General features: G+C 37.5%; 1 protein-coding gene across 16 annotated transcripts in view, besides 1 other annotated feature; it reads right to left on the bottom strand.

The window, feature by feature from the left end:
* AP2B1 (adaptor related protein complex 2 subunit beta 1) overlaps window positions 1–20,409 on the bottom strand; it is a 139,092-nt gene that overhangs the window by 94,090 nt on the left and 24,593 nt on the right. For all 16 annotated transcript variants that reach the window (XM_011524450.3, XM_005257938.4, XM_047435509.1 and 13 more), the window contains 4 exons: window positions 7,737–7,927; window positions 5,482–5,703; window positions 4,819–4,939; window positions 4,598–4,693 (listed from right to left, as the gene is read on the bottom strand). In XM_011524450.3, coding sequence (XP_011522752.1) covers window positions 4,598–4,693; window positions 4,819–4,939; window positions 5,482–5,703; window positions 7,737–7,927 — 630 coding nt within the window. The remainder of the gene's footprint in view (window positions 1–4,597; window positions 4,694–4,818; window positions 4,940–5,481; window positions 5,704–7,736; window positions 7,928–20,409) is intronic.
* Window positions 862–2,061: an enhancer, noted in NCBI's record as "P300/CBP strongly-dependent group 1 enhancer chr17:33957282-33958481 (GRCh37/hg19 assembly coordinates)". NCBI's record gives its function as "activates an origin of replication core promoter dependent on BRD2, BRD4, P300/CBP, MED14 and CDK7 cofactors, with strong dependence on P300/CBP, by STARR-seq in HCT116 cells {active_cell/tissue: HCT116}" and the evidence as "EXISTENCE:reporter gene assay evidence [ECO:0000049][PMID:35650434]".

Genomic DNA, 20,409 nt, shown 5'->3' with positions numbered 1-20,409 from the left:
GTTTCTACTAAAAATACAAAAATTAGCCGGGCATGGTGGTGCATGTCTGTAATCCCAGCTACTCTGGAGGCTGAGGCAGGAGAATCACTTGAACCCAGGAGGCAGAGGTTGCAGTGAGCTGAGATTGCGCCATTTGCACTCCAGCCTGGGCGACAAGTCAAGACTCCATTTCCCCACCACCCCCCAAAAAACAAATAAAACAAAATCATTGCCATAGAAGTAAAAAAAAAAAAAATAGTGAATTTTATATAACTTTAGGTGAAGCACAATTTTCTAAGTGTGCCACTGAGGAAAAACACTGACTGAGAAAAGCTGATACAAAAATCTAAACTTCTGTGCATCAAGAAAGCAGAAGAAATCTAAAGGACAACAAACTAGGAAAATAAATGCTAACTAAAAGAAGGGTTAACATCTCAATTACAAAAGACTTTAAAACAACAATGTGGAAAAGATAACATATTGGAAAAAGGTGCAGAGGACATGAGTGAGCAATTCCCAAATGGCTAATAAGCATAACTGTTATGAAAAAATGTTCACTTCAACTAGAGTTCAAAGATTTAGTTGCAAGGATACTCCTTATACCACCATTTGGAAAAAGAGTAGAAACAACTTTAAGGTCCTATAATAAGGGATAAAGTTACAAATTCAGTAAGTTATCAAGTAATCACGTTATGTCTATAAACCAGAAACTAAAGATGACATAAATTTTTCTTTATAATGTGGATCAATGTCCATGATATTACTAGTAAGAAAAAAAAAAGTAGAGGATAAAACAAAGTAAATAAATAGCATTTGTGGAATGATTTCATTTTTATAAAAAAATACATCTTTGTATAGAACACTATATAAACAATGATATAAAATGATGTCTACCAGATTATGTCCACTGCATATCTGAGAGAGTGAAACAGAAGATGGGGAAAGCGGGGTACCCCATTTTTTGTTTAACTTGTTCTATAATTATATATAGTAAACAAATATGGTTTTCCTAATAGGAAAAATATGTTTTTTGTCTTTAAGAAATGACACACAAACCAATATTTTATTCTAATATATAAAAATCAGAAATAGTAAACAGAAAATAACCAGAAGACCAGGAAGTGAAGAACTCCTGGTCTTAACCTAGTGCCTCAACCTCTCTCCTTTTTAAAACTGAAAAGGACCAGGAGTTTGTTTACTCCTGAAAGAAATAGGCAAAAGTTATTGAACAAAAAAATAGCACCATAGGATTGCTTTTTCAGTGCTATTTATTTGCTCAACAGCTTGTTGCTTCCCAAAGCTATACAGAAAGTTCATTACAATTCTTATGCTGCTGATTCCTGTCCCATGGATGAGTTAGTGCAAACAGGCAATCATTGCCTCTCCTGGTCCAATTAACTGTTTGGCTTGGCAACTCTGTCAAACTGAAAACCTTCATGGCTGAAACAGTTACAGGAAAAGTTCTAAGGTAAATCTGGGTAATCTGAAATGACAGCACTAGATAAGACAGGATTCCTGAAGGGTGACCTTAAGTTTCCTGGGAAAGTTCATTCCTCACATCCTGTCATACTCCCATCAAAGCACGCTTAGTCAAAGGAAGAAGTGAAAGCCATCAGAAGTCTTTTCCAGAAGATTATGGAGAACCTTTCCATTAGTCACAATAGATGACTAACAGCCTTGAGGAATCTAGATGCTTTGAGAACACTTTCTAGTAATTCCAGGGCTAGAAAGTCTCTGAACTTCAGAATAAGATATAATTTTTGTATTACTGTTTACAGCTTTGTCAGAGAGGTAGGTCATAAGACAATGGCAGTCTTGTGGAAAAGATGGCTATGTACACTAGTGAAGAGAACAAAACCACCTTACTCTTATGCTACCAAAATCTCTCTGAAAATTATCTACATTAATACTAAGTAGACGGCTAGTAAGATATGTTAACGTAAAAAGAAAAGAAAAACAAGTTGTGACGTGTGGTGACAGTGGTAATAAAAACAATGTTAACATATCAAGATCCAACAAAAAGACTTTAACATTTCTCCAATGAAGAGAAACATTAAATATCTGAATCAAGTGAGCTAGCAGAACCAGGAATAGAACCCAGGACTAGCTAACTTCTTGCTGTTAACAGCCTTTCTATTAAATTATTTATCAACAGAAACTACATGAAGCAGCACTAAACTGAAAAAAAACAAGGAAGGCCAATTAGGAACAGGTATTTCATAGAAGATTCTCTGACACACATCTGCCTCCTTTTGTTCCGGTAAAGTACTGGTCATACTGTACAAATTGTTTTCGTATTCCTGAGAAATCATATGGTCCAATCCTCTGACTCTAGGCAGAACTGCATATAATCAAGTAGCAAGAACAAACATGGGGCTCTGAACCCATAAAAACAGTGAACAGAAGCCACTGTTAATTTCAACAAATTTCTGAATGAGGACAAACAAATGGAGGACTGCTGACTGATGAAGCAGGGCAATGTAAATTACAGCCCATAATACTTACCGGAAGGCTGCAGCCAAGCTAGAAACCAATCTGCCCTCTAAGACCAGATAGGCTCTTCAAGAGGTCTTCCATGTAAAGATAAACCCCCTTCCCTAAAGCAGAAACCTGATAGTCGACAGCCTTGCCTATGTATACAGAAGTCCTAATCAACTTTTCTGTTACCTCTTTCTTAAACAGAAACGAGCTGCACTTTACTGTATGCATGGTATACATCTCAATTAAAAAATTATATGCATAGATATGCAATCATCACCAAAAAATATCCGATAATTAAATTCAAAGTGCAGAAACAAAAAAACGAATCATTCATATCCTCAGAGATTCAAGAAGCTATTGCAACCACAAAAAGAGCAATGCAAGGAAAAATATACCAATAACAAGAAATAGGGAGGCTGTATGGAATGATGTGCAGAAGCCAGAAAAGCAATCAGTCAGAGTAGAAAAAACAAGAAGACAGAGGACTGCAAAAGAGAAGGGTCTAAGACAAAAGAAAGTTTACAGATTTGATATTATGCTTAAGGAACAGGAATAATATAGGGGCATGATAAAGACACACATGCAAGAAAAAAAGAGGCAATTAAAGAAACTCCAGGGCCAGGTGTGGTAACTCACACCTATAATCTCAACACTTTGGGAGGCTGAGGCAGGCGGATCACTTGAGGCTAGGAGTTCAAGACCAGCCCAGCCAACATGGCGAACCTCGTCTCTACTAAAAATACAAAAATTAGCTAGGTGTGGTAGCGTATGCCTGTAATCCCAGCTACTCAGGAGGCTGAGGCATAAGAGTCGCTTGAGCCCGGGAGGCAGAGGTTGCAGTGAGCCGAGATCATACCACTGCACTCCAGCCTGGGCAACAGAGACTCTGTCTCAAAAATCAAAACAAAACAAAAAACCTCCAGAAAAAAAAAAGATGCTATAAGAAAGAAAATGTAATCATTTGCATTACATTGGCCCTAAATATTTACACAGTCGTAATATGCATAAATTTTGCAAGCCAACAGTTGATAGAATAAGAAACAAAGGCATATTATTTCAATCTACCATGATAATGGATATAGGAACAAAAACCTTCATTATGTAACTACACTGGAAAACAGGAGACGGAAGTGGGAATGGTGGGTGTATGAAGTAAACTTCTTATAGCAGATAGTTAACAGAAAAAGTCTATGATAGGTAAATTAATAAATAATAGCATAAGAATATTATTGTTGTTCTTTTTTTGAGACAGCGTCTTGCTCTGTCACCCAGAGTGAAAAGGTTTCAGGTTGGAGTGCAGTGGCACAATAACAGCTTACTACAGTCTCAGCCTCCCAGACTCAAGCAATCTTCCTGCCTCAGCCTTCCAAGTAGCTGGGACTACAGGTGTGTGCCACCACACCCAGCTAACTTAAAAAAGTTTTTGTAGAAACAGAGCCTTACTATGTTGCCTAGGGTGGTCTCAAACTGCTGGGCTCAAGCAGTCCTCTCACCTTGGCCTCCCAAAGTGCTGGGATTACAGGTGTGAGCCACTGCACCCAGCCAAGAATATTATTTAGAGATATGGCAGCCCAGTCATGTCTCCAAATCCATGGGAGATTGGTTCCTGGGCCCCTGTGGATACCAAAATCCATGGATGCTTAAGTGCCTTACATAAAATGGTATAGTATTTGCATTTATACACATTCTCTTGTATACTTTAAACCATCTCTAGATTATTTATAATACCTAATGCAATGTAAATACTATGTAAATAATTGTTATATTTTTAAGGAATATAGACAAAAAAAGGTCTGTACATGTTCAGTACAGACAAAACCATCCTTTTTCTTTTCCCCTGAATATTTTTGATCCGCAGTTAGCTGAATCCACGGATGTGGAACTCATGGATATGGAGGACCTATTTTAATCAAAAGAATAACTAAAAGCAAAATCAGAGTTAAAAATATTCCCTCTGAGAAGAAAGTCTAGGTAGGGAAGGGAGGAACCAGAGACAGCTGCTTTCCATTAAAAATTCTTTAACATTGAAACTGTGTGCTTTATTATTTTGATAAACTTAAAAATTATTTTAAAGAAAAAAGTGAAGAGAACTCTCAGAATCCCCAATACATGATCCTAACTACCATCAGACACTTGCCTCCACCTTGATGGCACACCGTCCAATGGCCCGCACAGCTTTTCGAACAAAGTCAACATCCACCTCTGTAGCATATTCTTTCAGTTCTGCCAGAACCTGTTAAACCCAGGAAGTGGTTAATCATTAAGGATTCTCAAATAGCAATCTCACAGCCTAGCTTCTTTAAAGGCCAGACCTTAAGAGCTAAATCATCATCAACTTGAGTCTGCATAAAGTCTGACCTGAGCAATGTTGGCTTGAGATGCCAAACGAATCATGATGTCCAACTTCTCTAGTTTAACATAGATGGGATCATTGTACTTCACAAAGAAGACTTTGATTTCCTGCTTCAAGATTTCAGGCCTAGGGTACACAGAAACAGAAGAAAGGAAGGTGAAGGCATATACTGATATACCCTTCTGAGACTGTATTAATACCTAATCTGTGCCTCTCTGCTCTCCTCTCGCTCCACTCAGGCAAAAAAAAAAAAAAAAAAAAAAAAGCATAAACTTCCTCTATACGCCTCTATTCTTATCAGTTCCACTTGGCAGATTATTTTTATCCTTTTTAAGCATCAGGGCACATGTTGCCATGAAGAACTGCTAGAACAACAATCTGGCTCTAAACTACAGCCTGAACCATATCAACCAGGCACTAGACAGTATATCAGAAAGAGACCCTTCAGAAAACAAACTGGATTGTGGAGCAACGCATGGCATTTATTATAGAAACACTGTAATATCAACTGTTAGCCTCCTGGTGCTAGGCAAGCAAGTTTTTCTGCCATATAACATTTTCATTTCCATATATTAAAAAGAGATTAACACTAGCCTAATTAACATTGACATTATTAAGCTTAATGCAAAATTACAAACACTTTAATCAACACTTCGCTATTTCCCAACCTTTTCTGGACAATTAAGTTGATGTTCCTCAGGGCGACATACTGCACTTCTGGCTCCCCAGACAGCAAAGTGACAAGTGGAGGGGCTAACTTCTTCAGCAGCATATTGTAGTAGTCAGAATCCTTAGGTAACAATTCTAGAAACTTCATTAGGACTTTTACCGCTGAAAGCACCACTGCTGAGTTGGCATGGGATAGCCGGGGAGTTACCCGCTCACAGATGCTGAGGGTGGAGAATGAAAATTAATATCATGAATTATAATTTATTTGCTGAATTCATTCTATAAGGTAATATGTCAGAGTCTAATGGCCAAGTATCAAAAAATTAAAGAATTAGTTAGAAAAGTCAAAGCTCCATGCTTAGGTAAAATTGGGATCCAACAATGCAGAAGCCTCATTCTCAGCAAACTACAGGCAGAGCAGGGACATAAGAAGACTTCAGGAAACCAGTAATAAGGGATGTTCAAACTGGAAAGAACCTAGCAATACCCAAGACACTTGAGCTCACACCATTTACCTTCTTGTTTTATAGTCCTCTTTGTCTCCCCATATTATGTTAAGGCTCCCTGCCTCTCAGCCCATTTCTACTCAACCTATAGGAAGTCAAATTAAGCATTCTGAGAGTTATTTCATAGGAAGAGACAGCAAACGCAGTTGTGGCTGAAGATTTCATTGTAAGATACAGCAGGAGGCAGGCTGGTAGGGAAAACAATCCAACCTCCTCTCTTAAGGATAATGAGAATAAGGGACTCTCTGAAAAGGGTTTGTTTTTTAAATAGCAGGACACCACTACTATATTTTCCTGTCTCCCCCCTCTCCTAGCCCCTGCCACCTACACTTACATGCCTCATAAAATGGTTGATATTTAATTATCTGTTGAGGGTTCTTTAGAAATTAATCCAATTTTGGTAGCTTGGGCAACACAAGTAGCTAACTTACTGTATTAAAGAAAGAAGATAAATAGGCTGTACTTCTCTCTTCCTCCTATTCCTGACTTCCTTTGGGTCTTTATATGAATGCCACCTTCTCAGTGAGGTCTTCCCTGGCCATCCTTTAAAAAGAAAATACAACCCCTCACCCCCAAATGCCCAGCATTTCTTAGATTTCTTCTCTACTTTACTTTCTTGTTAGTACTTATCACCATCTCACATATTACATATTACACTATCTATACATATTATATATTATATTATCTATACATATTATATATATTCCTACCCCCATCCTTCAGAATAAGTGATCCCAGAGGGCCATGACTTTGTTCACTGCTGTATCCTCAGAGCCTGGAACACTGCCTGGCACACAGTATGCACTTAATAAATATTTGCTAAGTGAGTGAATGAATGAATGTGATGTCAATGGCCAACAGAAGAAAATAAAATTCTCAGTAAAGTTATTTCCAGACTATATTTGTACTTTCAGTGATGGAAAGAAACTATCAGAGTGAGCTTTAGTTCAGTCCAGAGGGACAATTTCCCAGATAAGTGAAGATCACTTACATTCTAGTAGCTTGGAAATCAGCTTCAGCCAGACCAGTTCTTAAATACCATAATTAAAATATACCAACTTTAATGAAGAGCCAACATTTCTTCAGAAGTACTTTGCCTAGTACAGTGCCTGCATATACAAAATGCTCAATAAAAATTAGGGATAATTCCAACTTTGTAAACTAAAATGTATGTATGTGTAGATGAAATTTAGTAGTCAATTTCTAATAACCAAAGAAAATTTGCAACATTACATGGTAACAGGCTGAGCAGAACAATCTAGGTGTGCCTTCTAAAATCTTCAAATTCAGACTGACATGGTTTCCATATCTACTGGAAAGGAGGATATATTCTGCTGACTTTAACATACTCTCTCTCATACTGAATTATATATACAGGTCAGCTCAATAACTAATATGAAGCCACTTTCTATATATCTAATAGAATGAAAAATCTGTCACCCCAAAGAGAGATACTCAATAATCTTTGCTGGCCAAATGGCCAAGAACTGTGCATGGGAGACGTAAGACGATAAAAGAGATTTTAGCAGAAGTAACTGTATGAAAAACATACATTTCTTAGAAATAGTTTTGCATAGTTTATTCTACCACCTAAAATATTCCTAAATCCAGAGAGAAAATACCCTGGAGATAGCAATATCTACCCCAGAAGCCACTGACCTTCCTCAACAGATTTATTCTAATAGCAGACTCCAGAACTTACTGCATCAGGCAAGACTACCAGAAAGTAGCCAGGAAAACAGACTGACCTCTGAGCCTCCCGATCATCTTTAGGGTTGTAATTAGACAGGCAGTCCAGGATGAAAATCTGGCCCCATTCAGTGCATTCATTCAGGGCTGTCAGCAGCTTATTAATGTTCTGTGGGTTCAGATCAAGTAAGTTGCTGTTTGGGTGAGACTCACTGATTTCAGATAATGCCGCTACGGCATTAGCCACCACCTGGAAAAGAAGGGGGTATGACCTTGATTCACCAAGAACAGCACAGCTATAGACAAACACTTCATCAGCCTTCTCTGGGTCATTTCACGGATCTCAATTCATAACCATTCCTGAACATTTTACCTAGTCAGATAGAAACAAATAAATCACTTCAAAACATATATTAAACCACCAATGATATTATATATAGTGGTAAGGCAACCCAGAATTAAAACAATTCATATATTAGCAGAGTCACATGTTATTTAATAGGAAAACATACATTAACCATGTTAACAGCACTCAAAACTTTCAAAATCAAGACATATGAACAGCATATGAAAAATGACAAAGTCTGAATATGAAATATGTACATTAGGCAACAGAGAGAAAAATCTAGGCCAAATAATCTTATAGTTGTGTAGCTGTATATGTATGGGTTTGGGGGAGGTGACACCATTAATCATACTACAAGTCTTAGAGTGAGAATATGTGGGCCTGAGACCCTAGTTCACTAGTATACAATGCTGAGAGAATATGTAATCTCTGTGAAGTTCAGTTTCTTCATCTGAAAACGAGATAATTTAATCCACCTCACAGATTAGTTTTAGTTTAAGGATAAGATCAGATGACATATGTGTAAGTGCTTTCTACAAAGCCTTATGTAAATTTAAGGTGGCTGGTTATATTACCATAATTCATCAACTGTAAGCTACAGTTTTTCACATTAACACCTTTGAAACTGGGTTGCATTTTATAATCAATGGCCTGTCAGTTCAATAGGAAGCATTTTTCTTTCTTAGTAATACAGAAAATAATAATACATCTTATAATCAGTGGCATTAAAGATTCAATGAAATACAGTATTTCAAATGTATCCTTCTTTCTGAGTAGGCACACATCTTGGCTCACTGTAACCTTCATCTACTGGGTTCAAGGGATTTTCCCACCTCAGTCTCCCAAGTAGCTGGGACTACAGGTGCATGCCACCATGCCCAGCTAATTTTTGTATTTTTAGTAGAAATGGGGTTTTGCCATGTTGGCCAGGCTGGTCTCGAACCCCTGACCTCAGGTGATCTGCCTGCCTCAGCCTCCCAAAGTGTTGGGATTACAGGTGTGAGCCACCATGCCCGGCTGAAAAATTGCTACCTTATACTAGAAAGTACACTTGTATCCTGACTCACAGATCTGGGAATCCATTTAGCTGCAGGAAGAAAAGTCAACACTTTATCAAAATTACAAATTAATTTTAAGAAATCTACAAAGGAAGAACATCTAAAGTCATTTAAAAGTTGCAAAAATACTAAAAAAAAAAAAAAATGCATACATACAAATACTATATATTGTGGCTTTGTACAAGTAAATTAAGACCATGTTTTGCAGTGAGGTTCCCAGATGCTGATGAAAGATTAGCAAAGTGAGGCTGAATATAAATACTCTCCAAGTATAAGTTGGCTGGGCGTGGTGGCTCACGCCTGTAAACCCAACACTTTGGGAGGCTGAGATGGGCGGATCACTTAGGTCAGGAGTTCGAGACCAGCCTGGCCAACATGGTGAAACCCTGTCTCTACTAAAAATATAAAAAATTAGCCGGGCATGGTGGTGTGTGCCTGTAATCCCAGCTACTCAGGAGGCTGAGGCAGGAGAACTGCTTGAACCCGGGAGGTGAAGGTTGCAGTGAGCCAAGATCACGCCACTGCACTCCAGCTTGGGCGACAGAGTGAGACTCCGTCTCAAAAATAAATAAATAAATATTCTCCAAGTATAAATGAGATGTGATAGGAGACAAGCTTCAGCAATTATATATATTGGAAATATTCTCAAAAATGTAAAACCATTGTTAGTTCTTACTGAAGTCCCTTAATAAAAACTAGAGAAATTAAGATTTGTATGATTATCATTTTGTTAGCAAGGGAAGAAACATAATGACTACAATCTAGCTATTGATTTTAGTATTCACATCATCTGTGTAATCTTCAGATTATCCCAGCATATGATTTTATCTAGAAGATAAATGTCTAGAGAATGTGATTTATTTAACAAATAATATACTTACAAAAATGTCCATTATTATGTAAAGGATAATGATGCCACAAATGCAATCATCTCAAGCTATACTTTGGTGATCAGAACAAAGATGCTAAGATGAAAAATCAGAGACTCACTTGGTAAATATGGTTACAGATATACTATTTTATACTTGTTAAGACAAATCAGGAAAACTTATCTAGCCCACCTACTGGATGGTAACATGTATGAGGCTCTTTTCTGACTTAATTTTTGTTTGCTAACTCTATCATCAAGCATGAGAAAAGCCATAAAGAGAGAAATAATAATCCCTTCCATGTGCTTCACATGCAAGATATTTTATTTCCCTTGCACAACATACTTAGTTGACCTTATTATAGTCTAAAGAATCAAAATATCATATCAGAAGGCCAAATGCCTGTTTTGATTTATTGTTGCCAACACATGCCCAGTCTTGGTTACCAGTTGTCTGAAATAAATTACCACTTCTGTCAGTGAAACCCTTTTCATGTTTAAAAAAACAAAAAGATTAAATATAAGGTCTAGTAATAGGAAATATAGACAAAGAAAACGAGAGAAGGGGGAGAATTAAAAACAGCAATGGGGAGAAAAAGACCAGAAGAATGCTAAACAGAATGAGCAATTAGAAATCCTCTGTTATTATAGGCAACTGGAAATTAAACCAAGTGTATAATGCACCTAATGAAGTGTATGGTCTGATGTTTAAATAGGCAATTGCCACTTATCATGACATTAAAACAAGAAATGAAATGGAGAAAAGTAAGTCTAACTTAAGGATCCAGAAAGATCAGATTAGATGATTGTTTAGCAAAGCCTGCACAAATAAGAGAGATCACTGCCAAATGGTGACCGTCCAGAGGAGATGCTATCCTACCCCTCTATACCAAAACTCTAATGTTTCTCTAAAATTTCTTGAAGTTCCTTCCATCCTATCTCTACACTTTCATCTCCTAATCTCCACAGTCAGACTGTTACATTTTTAGCAACATACTGAGGCAGGCTCACCAGGCAGCACTCTCAGTTTTCCTGGTCCGTAAGCCGAGTTTCTCTCACTCTTCAATGAAAACTTAAAATAAATCAGTCGCACTGAATCTAAAGTATCTTAAAGAAAAAGACTAACTTTGAGACAGCAACTGGGTGGCTAGAGAGTACATGACAACTCACTTGTCAATGTTTATACTGTTTCTTTGGAATTCTGTACTATGAATATATATTGTTCCGTTTTTAAAATAAACTTTTAAAATAATAGATTGAAACTCAAGATTTACTTCCTCTTCCTCCAGAGTCTTCTCTAGACAATAATATCACAAAAGAACAAATCCAACCCTTACAATAACTGCCTTGACTCACCTGTATACTAAGACAAAGGTGTGCTTCTTTCATTTGAACTATTACTTTGATTTAGAACTGTTAACACAACTATGTGTAACACTTCTCCTGTCAAAAAATTGGCATTTCTCTTAGGAAATACTGACAGAAAGAGAACAATGGCCTTTAGCTACCATTTCAGAAAAATTAGAGTTTCCAAGAAAAAAATTGTATTTTTTTAAAGAGGCAGGGTCTCACTCTGTTGCCCAGGCTGGAATGCAGTCGCACTGATCACAGCTCACTGTAATCTCAAACTCCTGGACTCAAGTGATCCTTCCACCTCAGCCTCCTGAGTAGCCAGGACTACAGGCTTGTACCACCACACCCAGTCAAGTTTCTTAATTAAATTTTTAGAGATGGGGCTGGCTATATTGCCCAGGCTGGTCTTGAACTCCTGGTCTCAAATAATCCTCCCAGTTTGGCCTCCCAAAGTGCTGGGATTACAGATGTGAGTCACCATACCCAGCCAAAAAGGGGGGTTTCTAGAGAAAGTTTCGCTTTAAAAATGAATTTTTAAATAGGATTTCCTTGGGGTTTGTTTGGTTGGTTGGTTTTAAGAGACAGGGTCTTGCCCGTCACCCAGGCTACAGTGTAGTGGCATAATCATATAGTTCACTGTAATCTTGAACTAGCAGATGGGACCACAGTGCATGCCACCATGCCTGGCTAATTTTTTTTTTTGGTAGAGACAGGGGTCTCACTATGTTGTCCAGGCTGGTCTCAAATTCCTGGCCTCATGCAGTCCTCCCATCTTGGCCTCCTAAGGTGCTGAGATTACAGGTGTGAGCCACCATAAGGTACCTGGCCTACAAATAGGGTTTCTTAAGAGAGCTTCCTCAGCACAAGTTGATTTATAAAAAGTTGGCATCCAGGTGACAAAGGGACACATTTGCAGCATTAAAAAAATAAATCCTTGGCCGAGCACGGTGGTTCACGCCTGTAATCCCAGCACTTTGGGAGGCTGAAACAGGTGGATCACTTGAGGCCAGAAGCTTGGGATCAGCCTGGCCAACATGGTGAAACCCTGTCTCTAATTAAAATACCAAAAATTAGCCAGGCATGGTGGTGCATACCTGTAATCCCAGCTACTCGGGAGGCTGAGGCACGAGAATCACTTGAACATGCGAGGCAGAGGTTGCGGTAAGCCAAGATCACACCATTGCACTCTAGCCTGGACAACAGAATGAGACTCTGTCTCCAAAAAGATAAAAGTAAAATAAAAAACTAAAAAAAATCCTTTATTCATCTTGCCTCCCAATTATGGTAAATTCTATTCTTGGGGAGACTGAAACTAAACATTCCCCACCCCTCACATCCCCTCAAAGAGCTAACCCAATTATGTATACTTTACAGAGATAGATATTAAACACAAACATATATATAAAAGCAGCACATGTAGATGTGTAAAATCATACTCAATCCTAGACAAATCTTTCTCCGCCTTAATTACAGACTTCTCTTCAATATGATATTTCCTTATGGACCTGTGGAATCTGCTGGTTGTTTTTGTTTTTTTTTTAAATAGAAACAGGGTCTCACTATGTTGCCCAGGCTTCTCTCAAACTCCTGGCCTCAGGCAATCTTCCTGCCTTGGCCTCCCAAAGTGCTAATATTACAGGTGTGAACCACCATACCCAGCCTGAATTTTTAATGATAAGCAATTTGTATTTTTACTTACATTATACTAATAGAATGAGTTTTACAGAGATAAAAGACTGGAATAGCTAAAATGTATTGAATATTTACTTTGTGCTATTAATCCTCATAACAACTCTGAAGTAGCTGCTACTAAAAGCCACCTATTACAGATAACAAAACTGACTTAGAGAAGTTCAGTGACTTGCTTAGGGTCAACACAGCCAGAAAGGGATTCCTGCTTGAATCTGAACTCAAGGTCTGCATCTGATTCCAGTGTCTGAGTACTAATACTTGGTCTCCAGCATTTATAGAGCTTCCAAGACTTGTGAACTTCAACCAAGGGAAGGGAAAGAAGATTCAGAGTAGGGGAGGATAATATAATCCAAACATTATTTCCAGCAAAGGTGACATGTAGATTTATATACAAGGAGAAAAATGTATTCTACTTTATACATTTCAGAGATAATCATATCCTACAGTACTTAGGGAGGGAAAGATTTACTACCTAGCTATAAAATATGATTTATGATCTATACCTGTCTTATATGCAGCAGTTGAGGATAATAAATTTGACCTCATTTTGTTAAAAAAGGAGTGAGCTGGTACAGTAGGTATGGTTAGAATAAAAATGACCCTGTAAAAAAAAGGACTCTCAAAGGAAATCTAGATATAAACTGGGAGTGGAATATCACACACATAAGCTCACTTATGAGGAATCTCTCACCCATTTCCCTGTCCCTTAAAATGATTTTCACCTTGCACTCTAATTTCACTCATTTTCGTGGCCTTGGAACCTTAGAAACTTACCACTTTCCAGTTCAGTGACTTCTTCCTGTTAAGTAAATTACTATTTACAGGACTTTGATTTCCAGCAATGACCTTCAAGGTCACACACTATGAACAGATTTATGCTTCAGTTTTTCTGCTCAATTTACAATTATTTTGGCTGGTATCCCTGAAGACTTGAATAAAGTGAAAGAAGTAGAGTAACTGACCAAAACTATTATGAGGAAATACACAGGTGGTTTACATATTTTTGTTCTCTTCTAAATTAGCAGTGTTAGAATATTGCTATCTCCTTTACAGAATGACCTCAAATGACATGTGAGGCATAGGACAACATATTTGTTCTGAGAGTTTCAGTCATTATTATCTCCTTAAGGAGACAATGACTGCAGTACCAGTCAAACAAGTAAAACTTAGGGCTTATACTTTAATCCAAAACACTGTCTAGAATGCCAACTGTTAATATGCCTGCTACATTACAATCTAGAATATTCCATTTTTTCCCCATCTTCTTCCTTAGAATGAGAGGTAAAACTACCTAGTGAGCCAACACATCTCATTATGAAAAGAAAGTCTGATTACATAGTAACAAGGTTTACAAAAAATAAAATTCATTACTTAAGTGGTTTAAGATATGATTTAACAAAATTCAAGTACTCTCAAAGCCAAAACACTACAAATAAATATCGATAAACAAATAAAAGGCATGCCTATAACCATCACAGTTATTTGGACCATGGCCCCTAAAATTCATTAAAGCAAGCTGCAACTTGAACAAAATAAAACACTTATTATCACACCACTTATGATCTCCCCATTTCTAAGAGTAAAGTATTCCCCAGCCAAATTACAGCCTTGAGGTCATCTTAAAGTGACAAATGAGCCTTGATATACTGGCAAACCACCAAAACAACACACAACAGATCCAGCTTTCAGGAAGTTGCTGTTGAGAACTACTTTAAACGTACACCCTTGAATAATTACCTTGTAAAAGTAGTAAGTAGTACTCTTAGATTTAGCTTCATTTGTGGGTAAGTTGCCCTCAGAGCTTTAAAAAATTTAATCTTTAAAATTCTTCATCCTAAAAGTTTTAATCTTAACCTTAAAATTTTAATCTTATAAAATTAAAAAGTAAATTTTGCCACTGAAATACTAACCCTTCTAAAATTATTAATATCCGGCACTACAATCACTGTACAATATAGAATATATGTTTCTGCTGGGCATGGTGGCTCACTCACGCCTGTAATCCCAGCACTTTGGGAGGCTGAGGCAGGCGGATCACTTGAGGTCAGGAATTCAAGACCAGCATGGCCAACATGGTGAAACCCTGTCTCTACTAAAAATACAAAACTTAGCCAGGCATGATGGCATGTGCCTGTACTCTCAGCTACTCAGAAGGCTGAAGTGGGAGAATTATTTGAGCCCAGGAGATGGAGGTTGCAGTAAGCCGAGATTGTGCCACTGCACTCCAGCCTACGCGACAGAGCAAGACTTTGTCTCTTAAGAAAAAAAAAAGGATATGTGTTTGTTATTATTAGGGGCTTACTCCATATGAGGACCAGTATTAAGTGCTTTGCAAGCCCTCTGTCCTTTAATATTCACAACAATCCTACGATAGAAGCACTATTTGTAATCTCCACTTTGTAGATGAGGATGCTAAAATTTAGAGACACCACTCGTCTAAGAAATAGCAGAACCAGGATACAAACCCAAATCTATTTGGTTCTAGAGCCTGAGTTTCAACCACTATGCTATGGTGACTGGATGAAAAATGCCATTTCATGGTTGTAAAGCACTTTTCTGTTTTCGAGCTACCTTCAAACAGAGTAGACTGATGCATTATAAAAGGAAGTGACTAAACACAATTTGGTATTCCGGACTGAATCCTGGAATAGCGAAAGGACATTAGTGTTGAAACTGGTGAAATTCTACTTTGGTTAATAGTAACATCCCAATGCTAATTTCCTAGTTTTGGCAAATGTACCACGGTTACGTAAGATGTTAACATTAGGTGAAACTGACTGAAGCGTATATGAAAACTTTCTGTACTGTCTTTGTAACTTTTCTGTAAATTTAAAATTGTTCCTCTAAAAAATGAGGTATTTTGGCAGGGCGCGGTGGCTCATGCCTGTAATCCCAGCACTTTGGGAGGCCGAGGCGGGCGGATCACGAGGTCAGGAGATTGAGACCATCCTGACTAACACGGTGAAACCCCCCGTCTCTACTAAAAATACAAAAAAAATTAGCCAGGCGTAGTGGTGGGCGCCTGTAGTCCCAGCTACTCAGAAGTGTGAGGCATGAGAATGGCATGAACCCGGGAGGCGGAGCTTGCAGTGAGCCGAGATCGCGCCACTGCACTCCAGCCTGGGCGACTGAGCGAGACTCCGTCTCCAAAAAAAAAAAAAAAAAAAAAAAAAAAAAAAAAAAAAAAGAGATATTTTTTAAAACCTAAGTTCATAATAATATAAAACGACGTAATGATTTTTTAAAAGTGAAAATACACAGAAAATGATTTCCACAAAGCACATTATAAAAGGAAAACAAAAAGTGTTTGCTTTCTCTATAAGTAGAGACAGAAATACACTCAGACCAACTGGTGGGAAATTCAAGAGCTGGGAAGTTGGCCTCATATCAAAGCAGCCCCCAATGATTCCACTTACCCAAACTTCAATCCTGCAAAAATTAACAGCAGCTCCTTTTATAATATGAAACACAATTTGAGGAACTCAGATACAGACTGAATGTATTACCTTCAATGTTACTCTTATCAAGTGCTCACCACATACTGACATTATCATATGTGCCTAAAATTCTGCCAGCTCTAACTCCTTCATGGACATTTGATATGAAAAGTATTACACATTTTAAATTTCATTTATGTATAATATTTTAATTTTGTAATTGTTACTTACTAATATATATTTAAGGATAACAACAATCCTATAATTAACGTACTAAATAAAGTTAAGTCATTAAGTTTTTCTATGCATTCTGGGCCTACCTTTAATAGGCAGTTTAACATAGCCTACATGAATACCAAATATATTCTGACAAAAATTCTTAGAAAGAGATCTAGACAGATGGCATTTTTTCAATATTTTATCATCTTAGGTTGACAACAAATCACCACACAAGTAAACTTCCTAATGCCTAAATGAAGATTATAACAACCGGAAGGTGCATAATGTTAGGCCACTTCCTCAAGAATAGCTGCAGTTTATTAAGCATTTACCATATATCAGGCAAAGTTTAAAATTTTAAATACATTATTCTTTCATCTTCAAAATAATTCACTAAAATCGGCATTATTACCTCAGTTTTACATATAAGACAACTGAAGTTCATTTTAAATAACTTGTTCAAAGCCACATTTCTAGTAAGCAGCCAAGCCAGGACTCAAACAGCAGCCACTCTGGCTCTGAAGCCTCAGTGCTATTTCCATAATCCAGGGTTTCACAACCTTGGCATTATTAACATTTACTGCTGGATAATTCTTTGTTGTCGGGGGACTGTCCTGTACACTGAAGGATGTTGAAAACATCCCTGGACTCTACCCGATATATGCCAGTAGCACTCCTCCCATCAGGTTTGACAACCAAAAAAATGTTACTAGACATTGCCAAATGTCCTCTGGAGAGTAGAATCACTCCTGGTTGAGAACCACCATCATAATCCCATGCTGTGTCTACGTGCTGGCTAGCACATAGTCAAAATACATACTGCTTTCTGAGAAGAAAAATGTTATTTTTCATAAAATGGTTTTCAAGCAAAAGTTCAAATTAAAAGAAGCTGGAAGTTTAACTACAACTTTTGGTAAAGATTATATTTGGCCTGAATTGAGGCTATTCTGAGAGCATGCTGCTTATGCAGAAGAACACTTAACAAATGAGAAATTTTTTTTTTTTTTTTTTTTTTTTTACTAATTCAACAGTTTGCAATTTTGCAGAGAGGACAGAACAATGAAGCACAGGTATTCTCATGGGCAGCTGTGAGAGTGATAGACAGTCTGGAAGATGAAGATCAAAGGGGCTACGCAGTAAACCAAAGGGACTTACGAGGACTGAACCCAAGAAGACAAAAAGCAGGCCAGGCATGGTGGCTCACGCCTATAATCTCAGTACTTTGAGAGGCTGAGGCTGGAGGCCTGCTTTAAGCTAGGAGATTGAGACCAACCTGGGCAACAAAACAAGATCCATCTCTACAAAAAATAAAATAAAATAAATTAGCTGGGCATGGTAGCATATGCCTGTAGTTCCAGTTGCTCGGGAAGACTGTTTGAGCCCAGGAGTTTGAGGCTGCACTGAGCTATGATCAAGCCATTGCACACCAGCCTGGGTGACAGAGCAAGACCAGGTCTCTCAAAAAATAAAAAGTAAATTTTTAAAATAAATAAAAACAAAAAGCAAAGCACATATGGTGGGGCTGTCAAGAGCATCTCTGGAGTTGCAAATTCTAATATACGTAAGTTAACTGAGGTTTGAATACCCCTAAATGCCTCTGAGAGCAAAAAAGAAAACCATAGTAACGAAGCTAGAGAATACTATCATTCATTCAAAAGTGCATATCTCAATAAAACAAGTCATATACCAAAAAGATACACATTTTCTTGCAAATATATACTTGTGACATTTGTAAAAAAAACCACAAAAGCTATTTCCCTATAGCTCTAAAATGTTTCCTTATTCTGGATGGAGGTTTACCTTCAAAATAATGAACTAATAAAGTCCACATCTGACGACAAGTTTAATTCCCTTGGAACAGATAGTCCATACAAATATTAAAGGAATCAGAACCTTTTAAATTAATATTGTAGCAATAATGTTAACCTCTGCCTAATACCTACTTCATAATTACAGTAGCAGCCACCACTTATGAGCTCCCATAAGCCAAGCACTTTACAGGGCACTTTTCATGCAAAAGCTCAATTAATAATCCAAACAACTCTCTAAGATAGTAGCCTTCATCTTCCAGGAAAGGAAACAGACTTGGGTAAGTTAAACAACATGAACATAAAGCTAGGACTTAATAGAGTGAGATTTTTTTACTTCTAAATTCATCTTTTCTCTCTTAACTAGTATTTCATCAAAAGTTAGCTTCAACTAAACTATAAATTGTAAAACAACTGCAGGAAAGTAAGATGTATGTGATTCTCTGCAAAACACAGGAAACAAAACTATGGTAAAGCTTTGTTACCTGCAGCAAGGCACAGTGTCACTAGGAACCAGACTTGAGGTCAATATAACACCAAGAATTTTCAGCCCTCGACCAACATTTATCTCTCATATTAGAAGATTTCAAAGTCATTTCTGCAGATATTCTAGTGCTTTCAAATCTAGGATGCCCTTCTGAAGTGAGCTACAAGAAAACTACTAAGGCACAACCCCTGGAAGCATTCATTCTTTTCTTTTCTAAGAGAATCTAATATGTGCTGGTGCAGTGCTGCCACCATGTGGAGTAGCCTCTGAAAAAGTGGAACAAAATCACTCCTCAAGAGCAGTAAAATAAGGACTCATATCCATCACTGGAATAAGAGGATTGATATTTCTTTTTTTTTTGTATCTTTCATTTTTTTTTTCTTTTTTGAGATTTCTATAATGAAGCAGTGTTCAGATAACTCAGTCTTTATGTATTCAAACGTAAACACTTTGAGAAAATGAAGCAGTTCTGTGTGTGTGTGTGTGTGTGTGTGTGTGCGCACATACACATTTAAATGACCTCAGGTGATCCACCCTCCTCAGCCTCCCAAACTGCTGGGATGACAGGCGTGAGCCACCACACCTGGCCTAAATTCTCTGGTATACATTCATCCATGAAGGTAGTAACCAGCAATGGAGTCTGGGACTCAGAACTAGGTTGGGATCCTAGCTACATTACTACTAGCTGCATGATTTTAGGAAGAGTTCTTCAGTCTGAGTAAACATTTCTTGACCTGTAACATGGAATAACCTCTGCTTTAAGGAGAAATGTGAGAACTAAGTGAAACATTGTAAGTAAAAGCATCTACCACTGTGCATGGCATAGAAGGCACTTAAATTTAAGTGTTCTAATGACAGTTGTAATACTCTAAGGTAATAAGTAGGGAATACAGTTGAGATGAAAAGTATAAATTCAAAATAAAAAGTAGGTATGTATCTATGTGTGTTGGCTACCTCTTAAGCCCAAGCTTTTCAGTTCTTCACTAAAACAAGAATGAAGAGCTCAAAAAATGATTTTAATATGAGTATGTGTAACAAGGCCAGGACAAGAGTAAGGCAAGTGAGGCACTCCAGGCACAAAACTAAGGAGGCACTCTGTTCTCAGGCTTGTGAGGTACAGAGTTCGCACCTGAGAATGAGTGTCTTCTTAAATTTTACACTCCAGGCACCTCTTTAGGCTAAGTCAAACAATATCAGAAAAGTTCTGCTACTGAGTTCTGACAAAACAGCAAAGATCTTCTATTCAGAGAGCAGTTGGTCCAATAATTTGCTATCTAATGCTGACACCCTGCTCTAGGAAAATCTATAAATAAAGAGACAACAAAATATGAGGTATTCCTGAAACTGTTTCTCAAAAATCTACCAAGTAGCTTTAAATTTTCTCTAAAAGTCTCCTCAAAAATATTTATGAAAATCTCCCCAAGTCACGTTTTGATTTGTTGTAGTAAAAACAGGTTAAAAATT

The sequence above is a fragment of the Homo sapiens genome, chromosome 17 (genome assembly GCF_000001405.40).
Source record: "Homo sapiens chromosome 17, GRCh38.p14 Primary Assembly".
NCBI classification, from domain to species: domain Eukaryota; kingdom Metazoa; phylum Chordata; class Mammalia; order Primates; family Hominidae; genus Homo; species Homo sapiens.
Note: the sequence above shows the minus strand (reverse complement) of the source record. Positions and strands in the feature narration are given on the sequence as shown.